The following is a 16,172-nucleotide window of genomic DNA, read 5'->3' as shown; positions in this document are numbered from 1 at the left end:
GTCTGGTGGGAGGCGAATGGATCATGGGTGCGGATTTCCCCCTTGCTGTCTTCTTGATAGTGAGTGAGTTCTCATGACATCTGATTGTTTAAAAGTGTGTAGCACCTCCTCCTTCACTCTTTCTCCTCCTCTGGCCATGTAAGATGTGCCTTCTTCCTCTTCACCTTCTGCCACATTTTCCTGAGGCCTCCCCAGCCATGCTCCCATACAGCCTGTGGAATGGTGAGCCAGTTAAACGTCTTTTATTATTTTTTTTCGAGACAGAGTTTTGCTCCGTCGTTCAGGCTTGAGTTCAGGGTGTGATCTTGGCTCACTGCAACCTCTTCCTCCCGGGTTTAAGTAATTCTCTTGCCTCAGCCTCCCGAGTAGCTGGGATTACAGGCATATGCCACCACGGCCTGGCTCAGTTTTGTATTTTTAGTAGAGACTGGGTTTTCCCATGTTGGACAGGCTGGTCATGAACTCCTGGCCATAGTGATCTGCCCACTTTGGCCTCCCAAAGTGCTGATATTACAAGCATGAACCGCCATGTGTGGCCTAAATGTCTTTTCTTTATAAATTATGCAGTCTCAGGTAGTTTTTTATAGCAATGTGAGAAAGAACTAATATGGGGGGTAGGATGGCTATTAAAATAATTATCCTTCCTCTTGATATGGGTATGTCCTGTACTTACAGTTAACACATTGCGTTTTTTTAATAGAATGAATGTTTAGCATATTATTCTGCTCATACCATAGAATGTCTTTATTTTTTAAATGTTTATGGAGTTTCATGGTTGTTATGTATTTATATTCCTGATGAACTGAGAGTAATGTAGTGTTATTTATAATGCCGAATTCCTTCTCAAGAATGCCACTAAAACTCTTCCTATTATGGAGTTTTTTGTACTAACATCAGAGCAAGAGGTAGAAACTATTAATACTATATTTAATAATTAAACGATATGTGTTCCTATGAGTAAATATATTAATAGTATATTTAATAATTAAATGATATGTGTTCAAAGTTTCAAAGTTCACCTTTGATATTTTCCATCTCCTTAAAATGAGAATGTGTAATTAGCCATTTCTAGAAATGGTGACTATAGTTAATAATAATATATTACATATTTGAAAATTGCTAAGAAAATAGATATTAAGTGTTCTTACCACAAAATGATAAGTATATGAGGTAATGGACATGTTAATAGCTGTATTAAGCTACTTCACAATGTATACATAGTTCAAAGCATGCTGTACACAATATATACAATTTTTATTTGTCAATTAAAAACAAAAAATAAGATCAATGAATAGCCATTTCTTTGTCATAAAACTTTTAAAAATTTTATTTCAATTTTTAGGAAAAATTCTTAAAAATAATGAGACTCTAGTACAACATGGAGTTAAGCCACAGGAAATTGTACAAGTGGAAATCTTTTCTACAAATCCAGATCTGTATCCAGTCAGAAGAATAGATGGATTAACTGATGTCTCTCAAATCATAACTGTCACTGTCCAAACTGGTTCGTTATTTGATGTCTTTTAGATAAAGTATTTTTGAGTCCCTTCTTGGTTGAGCTTTCATTGAATCTTGGTGTTATCTCTCAGGACTTGATCAATACCAGCAGGTACCTGTTGAGATTGTCAAATCTGACTTTCACAAACCATTTCTTGGTGGATTCAGACATAAAGTAACAGGAGTAGAGTATCACAATGCTGGAACACAAACTGTACCTAAAAGGATTCCCGAAAGACTCAGTATATTTTGTAGGGATACGCAGGTAATGTTTTTATTTGTCTCTTTAGGTTTTTGAAGGTATAGACTCAATAATTGTACTGTATGACTCTCTCAAATTTCTCTTAAGTAATTATATGGCAATTAATAAAAGAAAATGAACTCACATATGTAGAAAAACTCCCTTATGTATATATATAGGGGATACTGATTTAAATTTTTAATGTTTTCTTTTAGACAGTTTTTCAGAAAAAAAATCTCCAACAAACTACAAATACAACATCCACACAGATGACTAACATTGGTGTATATGTATCAAATATGACTGATAAACTGGTAACACCAGGAAAGTATTTTTCAGCAGCAGAATACCATGCTCAAAGACTAAAGGCGGTGAGATAACTTTTATTGTGGATGAATACTAAAAATTTGATATATAAGCCAGTTGTTCCGAGTGTGTCTCTTTCTCCAAGCCACATTTGCTTGAGAAAGAATGCTCATGAGTATGGGTCATATTTCACTGCTAACAAAGCAGTCTTTATCTCCAGTATTCCCCCATGTAAAGAACCAGCATCCTAAATGCTCCTAATCCTTCCTTTTCTCTTAGGGAAACCCAGCTTCTTTGTGTATTGCCTTTGGCCATTATTAGCCTTCTCAACACTGCTGTCCCTTGGCCTTAAATCTTGTCACAGTAGAATCACCAAGGGAACTTTCGAGACTAATTGAAACCAAATAGGACAGTAGTCGATTTTCTCTGATATTAACATAGCCGCTCCAACTCTGTTTTATTTTTTTGCATAGTCTCTCATTTTTCATTCTTTTACTTTCAACCTATTTGATCTACCTCCTACCATCAATTTACTGTGAGTAAAAATGACCTGAAAGCAGTGACTTTAAGAGATTTTGCTTTTCAAATGACAAGAAATCTGGAGCTAGGCTATTCAGCCCAAGACCTTTAGAGACAAACTTGTAGTGAAAAAAAGTTAAGTCTGTTGACTTAATTGCCCTGAAGGAGACAGTATACCAGGGGAACCATGGGGTTAACTTTATAGCAGGCTTTATCAGTGCCAGTTATTCCAGCCTGATAATTTTTTACTTTTTCAGTCCAAACTAAATTTCACCAAATAAAGGAATATATGGAGTTATTATATAATTTGGGGAAGAGTGAAGTTTGAGTGGGATTTAGGGGAAGCAGTATTCTGATTGTCTCAATGCAAAACAAGGGTGTGTATAAATGGGCCAACATTAGGTCTGGACTGTGAAGTAGACCAAGGTCACGTTCCTTTGGAAACAAAGTTAAAAGAGATGGGAAATGTTTCTTAGAAGTTCTCTGAAGTTCAGCACCTTGGTTGTATAATTGAGGCTGCTTCTCTCTGTCAAAGTGACGTGCAACCTCTAGGCAAGAGTGGAATGTTTGTTTCTTACTGATCTAATTTCAGACAGGAAAGTTTCTGATAGTTTCTGAATTTAGAGAACGAAGTTTCTCAGTGAGTAAGAAGATAGCAGTCACTAAAAGAAGGGGATTGTTGAAATATTTTATAGTTGTAGAGTGTCCTTGGGAGAAATACTGTTTTTGTTAATTTTGTAGCTGACCTGATTAGTGCCTGTTATTCCAGCCTGACAATTTTTTACTTTCTCAGTCTTAATTAATTTTTACTTTCTTACTATACTGGGCATGGGTGGTGACTCTATGATGTCATCAGAATCATAAACTCCTTTCATCTTTCTACTCCATTAAGCTCATCATGAGCTTGTTACTGTATGAAGATAAAATGGTTGACTAACTTTCATCATGCCTGCATTCCATGTGAGAAGAAGGGAAAAGTCAAGGCAGCATGTTCCATGAATGCCACCTTCAAGGATTTCCCCGGAAAGCCCCACCCAGTGACTTCTACTTGCATCCCATTGGCTTGAACTATGTCATGTGACTATCCCTACTGCAAAAGTGTGTGATAAATGAATTTTTAAAGTAGCATATCATTGCTCCTCAATGAGATTGCAATCTTAGTAAGAGAAAGTAGGGCAAAATGGATATTAAGTAAGGAAATGGAAATTTCTGTCATTTTCCAAACTCCAAAAAATGATATTGAAAGAATAAAAGTATAAATATACAAGGACAAAGAATACATGAGAAGAGTAAATGTGAGTTGTGTTTTTTTTTTGAAGTTTTAAAGCAGATGGAAAAGTGTTAACTTGACTTAGTAGAGCAGAGGAAGTGAAAATCTAAATGCTGCCAACGAGGATGGCATCAAGAACCAAATAGATTTGCCCCATAGAGTCTTGAAAGGTGAATTGGAGGTTCTGTGGGAGGTGGAAGTGAGGTGTGACCTGTTAACAGAGGAATTTGTTAAAAGCCGGTATAGGGAGTACATTTCCGTTTAATAAGTTCTTTTAACCTTGATTCCTTTCTACTTGGGTCATGTTTATTTTATTTTTTTAATAGGTTTTGAGTTCACTGCTTACTATTTTAAATCTTTCTTGTTTCAAGAAAGATGATATTTTGCGTGACTACTGATATTTTTGGACTCATTCTTGCTATTTCATTTTGTTTTATTTACTAATTATTCTTATTTGTTTATGCTTTTTTTAGCCTTTTCTTTTTGTTGGTTTGAATAAATGTTTCTTTTTTTGTTCTTTCATAGTTCAGAAATAAGTATTTTGTTTTTTCTAGTGGTTATGTTACAGAAAAGTGGTCCCGATCCAGACCCCAAGAGAGGGTTCTTGGATCTCCCACAAGAACTAATTCAGGGCAAGTCCATAGAATAAAGTAAAAGCAAGTTTATTAAGAAAGTAAAGGAACAAAAGAATGGCTACTCCACAGACAGAGCAGACCTGAGGGTTGCCTGGTGCTGGTTGCCCATTTTTATGGTTATTTCTTGATGATATGCTAAACAAGGGGTGGATTATTCATGCCTCCCCTTTTTAGACCATATAGGGTAACTTCCTGATATTGCCATGGCATTTGTAAACTGTCTTGGCGCTGGTGGGAGTGTAGCAGTGAGGATGACCAGAGGTCGCTCTTGTCGCCATGTTGGTTTTGGTGGGATTTAGCTGGCTTCTTTACTGCAACCTGTTTTATTAGCAAGGTCTTTATGACTTGTATCTTGTACTGACCTCTTATCTTATCCTGTGGCTTACAATGCCTAGCTGTCTGGGAATGCAGCCCAGTAAGTTTCAGCCGCATTTCACCCAGCTCCTATTCAAGATGGAGTTGCTCTGGTTCACACGCCTCTGACAGTTACTCATACACATTTTTTAACATAACTAATTTTTTTATACCAAGTGCATATCTAATCAGCCTATATATCGTTTCCATGAATAAGTCAAGAACCTTACTAGGCTTTTCTTCATTTTCTGCCCCCTCCTTTCTTTGTTTCCTCTTTCTAGAAGCTGTCAGGATTTTCACTTTATCCTTGGTATTTGGTAATCTTATTGTAATATGCTTGAGACTTGGTGATGTACCCTTTCCGAGAGTCCATGTCTTGCTGTGGGAAATATACCTCTATTATGTTTTTATGAATTTCTGTAATCAACTTTCCTTATTTTATCTGGAACTTATCTCAGAAATATTTTGGGATGAGGCCAGATGCTGAGGCACATGCTTGTAATCCCAGTACTTTGGGAGGCTGAAGTGGGCAGATCACTCGAGGCCAGGAGTTGGAGACCAAGCTCGGCAACTTGGTGAAACCCTGTCTCTACTAAAAATACAAGAATTAGCTAGGCATAGTGGCACGTGCCTGTGGTCCCAACTGCTCAGGAGGGGAAGCATGAGAATCACTTGAACCCAGGAGGCGGAGGCTGCAGTGAGCTGAGATCACACCACTGCACTCTAGCCTGGGTGACAGTGAGACTTCGCCTAAAAAGAAAAAAAGAAAAAAAGGAAACATTTTGGAATGCTGGGATTTATCTTTTGTGTCTCTTATTTTTCATTCATTCATTTAAATTTTTATGAGCCTTTGTCCTGCATGCTAAAAGATTTTCTCACCTAATTTTCTTACCTACTTATTACTTCTTATGTTCTACACATTCTGCAGATCAGCTTACAAGAAACTACTAGTTCTCTGTCAATACCCATTTTTTCCCTTCTCCTATTGTAATAAAGCTTTATCTGAGCATGTGGCTGTTCCACTGATGACCACATTTCATCACTTCCCTTGTGTATCAGTGAGGCCATATAACTAAGATCTGGACAGCGAGATGTGAGGGACAATGTGAGCCACTTACAGTTATCATTCTTAAAATGCTCTTTGTTCCTTTTCCCTCTATTTACTGGTTGGAAGATGGTAAGTGGACCAGCCATCTGGGACATATAAGTAGGAAGCCATTTGTTAAATATGACAGAGCTTTCCTACGAGCCCTAAACTGCTTTGCTAATCCCTGGATTGTCATGTGAAAGGGAAAAAACTTCTGTGTTGTTTAAACAACTGTGTTTTGGTGTTTTAAATAAGTTGAACAAGTTTAATAGCACTCAGGCTAATCCATATTCTATTAATTTTTTAAATTTCAAAAATAAAATTTTTGCCAGTCTTTTTTCTTGGTTCATTATATTATTTTATACTGATAGCCTTTCCTTTCTCTGTGAAAATATTAACTATATCTAGTCTGCTCTTGTATTTTGTTTTGTTTTGATTTACTCTAGTAGTTCTAAAACTTTACTATAAGCATCATCTGGAGGGCTCATGAATATATAGAATGCTGTGCTTACCCAGGAGTTTCTGATCAATAGCTCTGGGGTGGGGCCTGAAAATTTGCATTGCTAATAGTTTTCTAGATGCCGCTGATGTGTTTGAGATTCTTAATGTCCAGTGTGCCAATAGCATATTGGTTCACCCAGTCTGACCCCATGATTTTAGGGGAAATGTAAAGCTTGATTATGGGAGAAACCTAGTTTTCTGGATAGGGGGCTTTTTTTTTTTCATCCTGGGTGTCACCTTCTGGGACACTCACCACTCTTGCCTAGGGACAAATATCTCTGTTGCTCCTTGCCTAATTATTTTAGAGGAACCTATCCCTTTTGCAGTTTTTAAAGTCACCTGGTTAGTGGCCACTCTGCTCAGACCATCCATCAGTTTTGGGCTTAGAGCAGTCCTAGAGCCCCTTGTTTTTTCTGACTTGCTTCTCCAGTGCATGATTAGGTTACAGACTCTTTCTTCAATTAATTCTACTGGCCTCTTTTGTTGAAGGGATTCTTCAAAGTTTCTATTCTTTTGGGGGACCCCTTCAGTTTGATCTAGTATCTTTGTCGATATCTGCTTTACATAGTTTTTCTACAATTATTAGGCATTAGGATGAGAGTAAGGGATGCATCAGCATAAGCTCTATCATCAGTCTTGATCCGGCCTCTTCACATTTTATTTTTATTTATGAGTTTAATAAATAAAATTATAAACTCTCAGAAAAAAATGATAAACTCTCTCAGCTATATCATAAACTTTTTGAGGGTTTAGTACTATGGTGTACTTTCAAACATATTCATGTTTCATACAAGTTAATAAATATTTGTTTGCTTCAGTCTCCATTTTATCTAACCTGCCTTTGGTGGTTTCCACACATACCTACCTGATGTGTATTTAGGAAAACACAGTTTTGTTATAAACATGAGCCTAAGCTAGTGGCATTTAAGATAAGATGGAGATAATTAATATGTATGACAATAATAGTATTTATTGAGGACTCATGATGTACCAGGCTTGGGTTAAGCACTTTATATGTATACTCTTATTATCACTGTTTTACACATGAGGGTACTAAAGCATAGAGATGGCAAGTAACTTATCCAATCAAACAACTAGTGAGTAGCAGAAGGAAGATTCAAACTAAGTTTTACTCCAGAGTCTATTCTGTTAAGGATCGTACAAACATCCTTCTGGGAAGGTATATTTGCGAGATGTCAAAGTCAAATAGCAGTCACATGCATTATACATGTTTTTTATGTTAGTGTTTGTGAAAATATGTATTTGGAGCTAAAACTAGACTCAGTTATTTTGTTGTGGAATTGGAATTGAAATAATCATCATTGCCTTTATTGTCTGATCAAAAAGTTGATGATAGGCACTTTCTATTTCCTTTTAATTTAACTATAGGTGATAGTGATACAGACTTACTACAGGCAATGGCATGCTAAAATCTTCGTAGAGAATTTAAGAAGACAGAAAAGCTTAAGACTGGAATGGGAAACACAGCAAGAACTAAGGAAGATAAGAGAAAAAGAAGAATGGATAAAATTGGACTATCACCGGAGGCATAATCCTAAAACAAATGAAGATTTTGAATTTCTTTATAATGCATTAGAATGTAAGTTGGACACAGGCTTTGCAAAAAATATTTTTAAATTCTTCATTAATAGGAAAAACAGATTTACTGCAGACAAAAGGAAGGTGTTATTATTTTAGGGAGATGTCTTGGAAATTTGCAGTAGAGAATTTTGAAAGATGAATACCACTTTATATTTGGAATAAGAATTAAGGCTGAAATGAAATTAGAAATGCTTTTATATTAACAATTAAAATGTACATACTGCTTTGTGAATTATGCAGTTTTAGTATATTATTTCATTTGATCCTCATTCATGTGAGATAAAGAGAGAAAGTACTGTGTAATCTAGTTTTCTTGTGGTTTGGGAATTTTGAACTCAGAGTTGAGCTGTTCTTTAATCCCTCAATCCAGCATCCTGTCTGATTTTGCTCTTTAGAGAAGGGGCTTGGCAATATTTTTAAAATTCCCCCTTATTAATAATACTATATAAATGTATATTCTCTACACCTTGACTTTTATACCTTATTTCTTCTACAGTGTGTGTGCTAGTCATGGATAAATTAAAAGTTTCAGTTATTTGAACAAGCCAGGCACTCTTTACCCAGGCAGTAGATACACGATTCCCCTTCTTGGAGGTGTTTCTCCATTGCCCACCTTTGGATCTCAGGTTAAATGTCACCTGCTTAAAGGTTTTTGTGAATGACAACATAAGTTGGATATTCTTTTGTCATCTTATGGTCCTCATTGCACCTGAAACTTTTCATTTTTATCACCACAGTTGGTAATACTACATCTTTTTTTCAGTCTCAGTTATTTCTTTAGTAATAATACATCTTTTGTTTAACATTTATTTCTGCCATGAGGGAATAATTCATTTATTTTTTGATGAGCTGCCTTTTACTGTGCTTAGCTCATATGCCCAACAAATGTTCATAAAATGAATGAATGAATGAATGAAAGGAAGAAATCCAGGGTTATACTAATGCAACTGTCTCTAGCTTCTGCTTTGCCAGCAGTACCTGGTAAGGTGGAAATAACTGGAGCAGAAGAGTTACTTAATACACCAGATATCTGAGAGTGGAGAAATTAGACCCTTATGAAGACACAGAAAAATTTAAAACCTAGAAATAGCCTCAATTGGCTTTTGTAGTTGAATGGGATATTTTAGTCCAAGGAAATAAATTTTTGACCTCTCTCTGATTATTTATAACACTAAGCAAATTTTCTTCCATTTGTTTGTTTCATTACATACTATTTTTTTTGTGGATGTTATATGTTCTGTTCCTCAAGTTGCAGTTTCCTTTCTAATTGGCTACATTTTTAAGCATCAGATATTGAGTCTTTTTATAGCTATAAGATAATATGCTATTTACCAAAAATAATATAATTAAACATTAGGGCTAATAAACAATATTAATAAATTCATTTTCCTGGTAACGTAAAAATTGAGTGGCTTTAGGAATATTTATAGCTTATGGTAAATATTTACAACTACTATGGTAGTATTTGAGGTAACTGTTAAGCCTGCTCCCTAGAATTGTGTGTCTGTTTTCCATTTTATCCTAATCATTGTCCTCTGGAAATACTGCTTATTTTACTTTAAACTTCACTTCTACTTCCATTTTTTCTGTCAGATGATAACAAAGATTATTAAGTGTCAGTACTTCAATAGAGAACATCGTTAGCCAGGTATCTATGAAAGGTCTTATTGACAAGTTTAAAACTAACATTCTGTTAGAGCAGAGCTCTGTTAAAATAATATTCTAAATTCTTATGTGACTAAAGGATACCATTGTTATCTTTGTGTGGTTAACAGACAACTGTGCAAAATAATAGAAAATATGTTGAATGAGCTTCTGCCTGTTCTACTTATTAGTGGTGTTAATTAGGACAAGTTTCTCACTTATCCTAAACCTCGATTTCTTCATCTATCAAAAGGAATTAATAATTTTTGGCCTGTCTACTTCAGAGGGCTTAATAGAGTAAAAAGTATAAAATATTACATTTATGAAAGTATTTCAAAAAGTACAAGGACCTATACATATGCGAGCTATTGTTCTATGGCAAATGATTTTATACAGAATTTTCATACTAAAGTAGAACAGATATATTTTATATAAGTCCACATATGATTTATATATGGAGGAAAATGAAATCCATGAAGTTTCTTATATAAAAGAGACATCTTTCGGGTTTTTCTAGTTCTAAAATTCCAAATTAAAAGCCTTGGAATAATAATTTTTAAGTTCTGTTAAAAAATCTGTGGTTTACAAGCTCAATAATTTATATTGCTCTTCTGTAATTTTCTTCATTTCATATTCATAACTCCATTCCTTGGAGCTGCTGCCCTCTTGTGGCTCATAATGATAATTGTATACTTTGAGCTATAATTCATAATATGAAACTTAACTTTTCCTCGAGGTAGTCTGTTCTTCAGTAATAAAAGCAAAATGATATTAATTTAAGAAAATAAACTTAGCTGTATAAGGTAATATGTCAAAGAGGAGGCTATCTCCAGGCAATAATATTTGATTTTCATGTCTTTTTATAGCAGTATGTTGAGGGTGATCTCTTTTATCGTTCTGAATTGTCACTAGGGCCATTACTTGGAAAAAAAGGTGCTAAGTATCCCATATTCTAAATAGAATAATTGGGGTTGTTTTGTCTATTTAAAAATTTTATATAGGCAGAATTATGCAGAATATAATTTTTTGTTTGTTTTTCAAAATTCAATATTATGTCATGAGACCGATCCTTGCTGTTGTGAGTAGTTGCCCTTTGTATGCCATTGCATGGATGTGCCATAACTTATGTATCCATTTTACTGTGGATTTGGTCCTTCCCACCCCTCCTCCCTGCCCCCCCAACTAGTTTTTGGCAAATATGTGTATATGTATATATATTCACCAAAAGATGTTTGTAGTAGTACTACTTGTGTATATGTATATATACACACATGCACACACACACACACACACACACACACACACACACACACACACATACACACACATTTCTCTCAGGGTGTAAACCTAGCAGTGGAATTGCTGGTTCATAGGATATACGTAATTCAGCTTTAGCAAATCCTGCCAGATGGTTTTTTAGAGGTTGTACCATTTTAAACTCCTATGAAAGAGTATCAGAGTTTTAATTGCTGTCATCCACTCCAACATTGGACGCTTCTGTCTTTTTCATTTTAGCCCTTCTGGAGGGTGCTATCACCCTGCCTTATTTTTGACTGAGGCTCCAATAGGTGAGATATCAGGATACCAGAGTCAATGAGAGTCAATCTCTCTCTCCCTCATAAAGAATTTACAAACCAAGTAAAATAGGACCTATTTCTTGGCTCATGGGTCACTTAGCAAGATAAAACATATAAGAAGGGCTAGGAGAGATTTGAAGAGGTTAGTAAGGTAGGTTTTTTTTGGAGAGAGCCATTGCTATGCTTTGGGGTTGGGGTGGGTAGGTTGTGTTATTTTCTGACCAAATGCCTAGTGAAAGGAGCTTCAAGGGAGTATTCCTGGTGAGCTTGGAAATGTTCCCTGTGTTTGGGGGACAACGAGGATTGTTGCCTGAACCTTGACCAGGATGGTAGACTGGGGTCTGAGTCCAAACAAAGAAACCTAGAGAACTAGAGGAGGGCTTTCAGACTTCTTTGATATTGGAGAGTGCTGCCGCATTATTTATAGCACTCCCAGGATTTTTAAAACAGAGATGTATCTTTGTTTTCTATCAAAAGGGGACTATACAGTAGAGAATACAAGAGAGATTGAGCCTGCAACAGGGCAATTTGAGGTGCTCTTGGTCCTGTTTAATAGGACCAGCTATAGAAGTGAAGGGATCTTGTCAGAAAGAAGCTTGAAGTGAACAGCTAGATTATCCCTAAGTGGCTACCTAGAGTGCAGATACATCTGTCTTGGGCCAGGGGAGTTGCGGTTCAGCTCAAGATCCTCAGGATGGTGAGTTTGAATCATCTGAGAGGCCTGGAGAGTGGGGTGAGTAAGAACTACCCCTTCTCATTCACTCATCTCCCAAAGGAGTACAGAAGAGAAACAGCAGCTAGTGGTGAGGAAAGGAACTGAGAGGTGAGGGTGTGTTCAGAGGATCTACCCTTTCCCCGCTCAGGCAGGTTTCCATTCTTTCAGTCTTTGGCATGTCTTTTCATTCTCTTAACAGTGTCTTTCTTAGAGCAAAAGTTTTTAATTTCAATAAGTCCTATTAGTTTCTTCTCGTGTGAATCATGCTTTTGGTGTTATACCTAAAAACTCATCACCAAACTTAAGGTCACACAGCTTTTCTCCTATGTGCTCTGGAAGTTTTATAGTGTTATATTTTGAATTTAGGTATAACATCCAGTTTGAAATAAATTTTGTATGAGATGTGAGATATGTGTTGAGATGAATGTTTAAACTTTTTGCTTTTGAACATCCAGTCGTTCCTTTAGCATTTGTTGAAAACACTGTCATTTCTCCATTGCATTGCCTTTGTATCTTTGTTAAGTTCGTAGTCCATTCAGGCTACTATAACAAAATGCCATATATATAAATAACAGAAATTTATTTTTTAGAGTTCTCAAGTCTGGGAACTCCAAGGGCACCAGCAGACTCAGTGTCTGGGGATGGTTTGTTTCCTGGTTCATAGATGGTGCCTTCTCACTGTGATCTCACATAGCAGAAAGGATGAAGAGCTTTCTTGGGTCTATTTAATAAGGGCAATAATCCCATTCATGAGGGTTCCACCCTCATTACCTAATCACATCCCCAAAGGCCCTGTTAATGCCTTGTCTTTATGTATTGTCAGACTTGATTTGCCAAAATTTTGTTTTGGAATTTTTGCATCTACATTCCTAAGGGATATTGATCTGTGACTTTTTTTTCCTTGTTATGTTACTGTCTGGTTTTAGTATTTGGATAATGCTAATCTCCTCTGTGCTCTTCAATTTTCTAAAACAGTTCGTGTAGAATTAGTAGGATCTCTTCATAAAATGTTAGGAATTCAACAGTGACACCAACTAGGTCTGGAATTTTCTTTGTGGGAAGGTTTAAACTATAAATTCAATTCTTTAATAAATATAGGGGTATTCATGTGACTTATTTATCATTGAGTAAGCTTTGATAGTTATTGTCTTTAAAGGAATTGGTAATTTTTTTCTGAGTTGTTGGATTTATTGGCATAAAGATGTTAATAATGTTCCATGTTATCCTTTTAATACCTATAGGATCTATAGTGATGTTACCTCAATTACTGATACTGGTAATTTTGTGTTTCCTTCTTTTTTTCCTGATCAGTCTGCCTAGGGATTTATCAGTTTTATTACTCTTCCCCTGATTTTTCCCAGTTCTTTTTCTCTGTTCCATTTTGTTAATTTCTATTGTTATTTATTTCCTTCATTATGCTTACCTTTGGTTCAGTTTACTCCTCTTCTAGTCCTGTGGTGGAAGCTGAGGTCATTTGATTTGAGACCTTTCTTCTTTCCTAATTATAGGTGTTTGGTGCTGTAAATTTTCCCTTAAGTACTGCTTCAGCTGCATCCTCACATTTTGATATGTTGAGTTGAAATTTTCTTTCAGTTCAAAATACTTTCTAATTATCCTTTTGATTATTTCTTGACCCATGGGATACTTAGAAGTAGGTTATTTAATTGCTAAATAGTTGGGGATTTTTCAGATATCTTTCTGTTATTGATTTCTAATTTTATTGTAATGAGAGAATGTAATTTTGTATAATTTGAGGTTTGAGGTTTGAGGTTTGTTTGTTTTTTTTTTTTTCCAAGATGGTGTTTTGCTCTTGTTGCCCAGGCTGGAGTGCAATGGCATGATCTTGGCTCACCACAACCTCTGACTCCCGGGTTCAAGCGATTCTCCTGCCTCAGCCTCCTGAGTAGCTGGGATTACAGGCACTTGCCACCACACCCGGCTAATTTTGTATTTTTAGTAGAGATGGGGTTTCTCCATGTTGGTCAGGCTGCTCATGAACTCCTGACCTCAGGTGATCTGCCCACCTCTGCCTTCCAAAGTGCTGAGATTACAGGCGTGAGCCAATGCACCCGGCCAATTTGAGTTCTTTTAAATTTATTGATACTTATTTTAACAACTAGAATACAAATTACATTGGAGAATATTCTGTGTGCATGTAGGAAGAATTTGCATTCTATTATGGTTGGGTGTAGTGATCAATAAATGGCCATTAGATCAAGTTAATTGATAATGTTGTTTAAATTTTCTTTATTTTTACAAATTTCCCATTTATTTGTATATCAGTTATTGTGAGGGGGTATTGAAATCTCAGACTGTAATTGTGAATTTTCCTATTTGTCTTTTCAATTTTATCAGATTTTGCTTCATGTATTGTGAAACTTTCTTATTAGATGTAAAAACATTTAGCATTACTATGTCTTGTTGATGAATTGAGTCCTTTATTTAAATGACCTTCCTTATTCCTTATGATATTTTTTGCTGTTAAATCTACTTTGCCTGATATTGATATGTCCTTTCCATTTTCCTTTTGATCACTGTTAGTTTAGTATATCTTTTTATATTTTGTAATTTTTAACTTCTTTGTGTCTTTATATTCAAAATGTGTTTTTTGTAGGCAACATATAACTGGATCTTATTTTAAAAATCCAATTAGATGATCTCTTCCTTTTAATTTGGATGTTTAGACTATTTACATTTAATGTGATTATTAATATGGTTGGATATAAATTTGTCATCTTTCACTGTTTGTTTTATATTTGCTCCTCTTATTATTTTTAAAGATTTATTTCTTTTTTATACTTATCTGTTTACTATTATGAATTTAAATTTCCCTTCATTTATTTTCATCCTCCTTGGAATTTTGTTGCATTATGTGCTTGAGAATATGTGATTTTTATAAATTCTGGATAATTCTTAGCCACTATCTCTGATATTAACTTTTCTCCATTCTCTCTAGTTTTTCATCTTGAAAATCCTAGCAGATATATGTTGACATTTTTAACACTGTTTTTCATTTTATACTTTTATCTCTTATGTTTTTTTTTGCTGCTTTTGGGACAGTTTCTTCATATGTATCTTTTTGCATACTAATTTTCTTTCAGAGCTTCTCTAAACTCCTGTTTAACCTATTTCCTAAGTTTTAAATGAAAAAATATCAACATAATATGTGGAAGTTTTATTTGGCATTTTTCAAATGCATTTGAAGTTTATTATATTTTTAATATTTTTTCCATTTTAGTATATATTTTATAGTTTTAAATAAAATAACTTTGTTATCTGAATTTCTTGAGAAGTCTACATTCCTGCTGATTTTTACTCATGTAGTATCTTTCTTCATATTTAAAAAATATGAGAGTAATATCCTACTCTATATTACATATTGTAAATGACTTTAGCTGTAAAGGAAAACCTGCACATCACTTCACAGAGTTCCAATTATTCTATTCCAGGGAGTATGAGTTCTTACCATGGTTCTCTGTTATATCAAAATAGGATTTATGCCAAGGCTTAAGTGTACAGCTTTATGACTTTTTACATATGCAGACATATATATAGCAACTACCCTTACTAAAAGGTAGGATATATTTATGCCCCAGAATGTTTTCTCATGTTATACATAGGTCCGCATCCCACTTCCACTCCTGCAAGGTAACCACTAGTCTGACTTCTATCACCATATATAAATTGTGCCTGTTATTGAGCTTCATTTCATACATTTTGTAGTATATTTTATTTCTGGCTTCTTTGCCTCAAGGTTATATCTGAGATTCATCCATTTTGTTGCTTATAGGACTAGTTCTTTTAAATTGCCACATAGGATTCCATTGTATAAATATAACCACAATTTATTCATTTTCCAGTTGCTAAATGTTACTTCAACATTTTTGACTTTTATGAATAAAATTGTGATTAATATTTCTTATATATGTTTTCTGGTGGATATATGAACTCTCTTCAGTATTTTTAAACATTGCATTGCAAACTTATATGAGCTGTAATATTTTTCTTATTTGTTTGGAATTCTTGCAAGGCTTGGGGTAAGGCAATTTTCCCCAAACAGGCCTCATACTGATTGCTCTTTCTTGGCCTGTGGGTATTTTTTGAGTGTACTGAAGGTAGACTCTTTGAGTTTCCTGATTCTGTGTGTATGTAGGGTGGAAGATGGGAGTAGGGACTCAGTCACGTTTTCTTACGTTTCTAAGTTTCAAGACCTTTTCATCTGTT

At 35.1% G+C, this 16,172-nt stretch overlaps 1 protein-coding gene across 12 annotated transcripts in view; it reads left to right on the top strand.

The window, feature by feature from the left end:
* The window catches only part of IQUB (IQ motif and ubiquitin domain containing), an 82,403-nt gene that overhangs the window by 29,890 nt on the left and 36,341 nt on the right, over positions 1–16,172 (top strand). For 11 of the 12 annotated variants that reach the window (NR_104245.2, NR_104244.2, NM_178827.5 and 8 more), the window contains 4 exons: positions 1,343–1,504; positions 1,590–1,762; positions 1,954–2,109; positions 7,800–8,010. The exons of the other annotated variant lie outside the window; for it this stretch is intronic. Coding sequence is in view for 9 of the 11 variants with exons in the window: in NM_178827.5 (NP_849149.3) it covers positions 1,343–1,504; positions 1,590–1,762; positions 1,954–2,109; positions 7,800–8,010 (702 nt within the window). In the remaining 2 variants the exon portion in view is untranslated. The remainder of the gene's footprint in view (positions 1–1,342; positions 1,505–1,589; positions 1,763–1,953; positions 2,110–7,799; positions 8,011–16,172) is intronic. 12 annotated transcript variants of the gene reach the window in all.

This window comes from Homo sapiens, chromosome 7 (assembly GCF_000001405.40).
Source record: "Homo sapiens chromosome 7, GRCh38.p14 Primary Assembly".
Lineage (NCBI taxonomy): Eukaryota > Metazoa > Chordata > Mammalia > Primates > Hominidae > Homo > Homo sapiens.
This window is presented reverse-complemented; position numbering and strand designations above follow the sequence as displayed.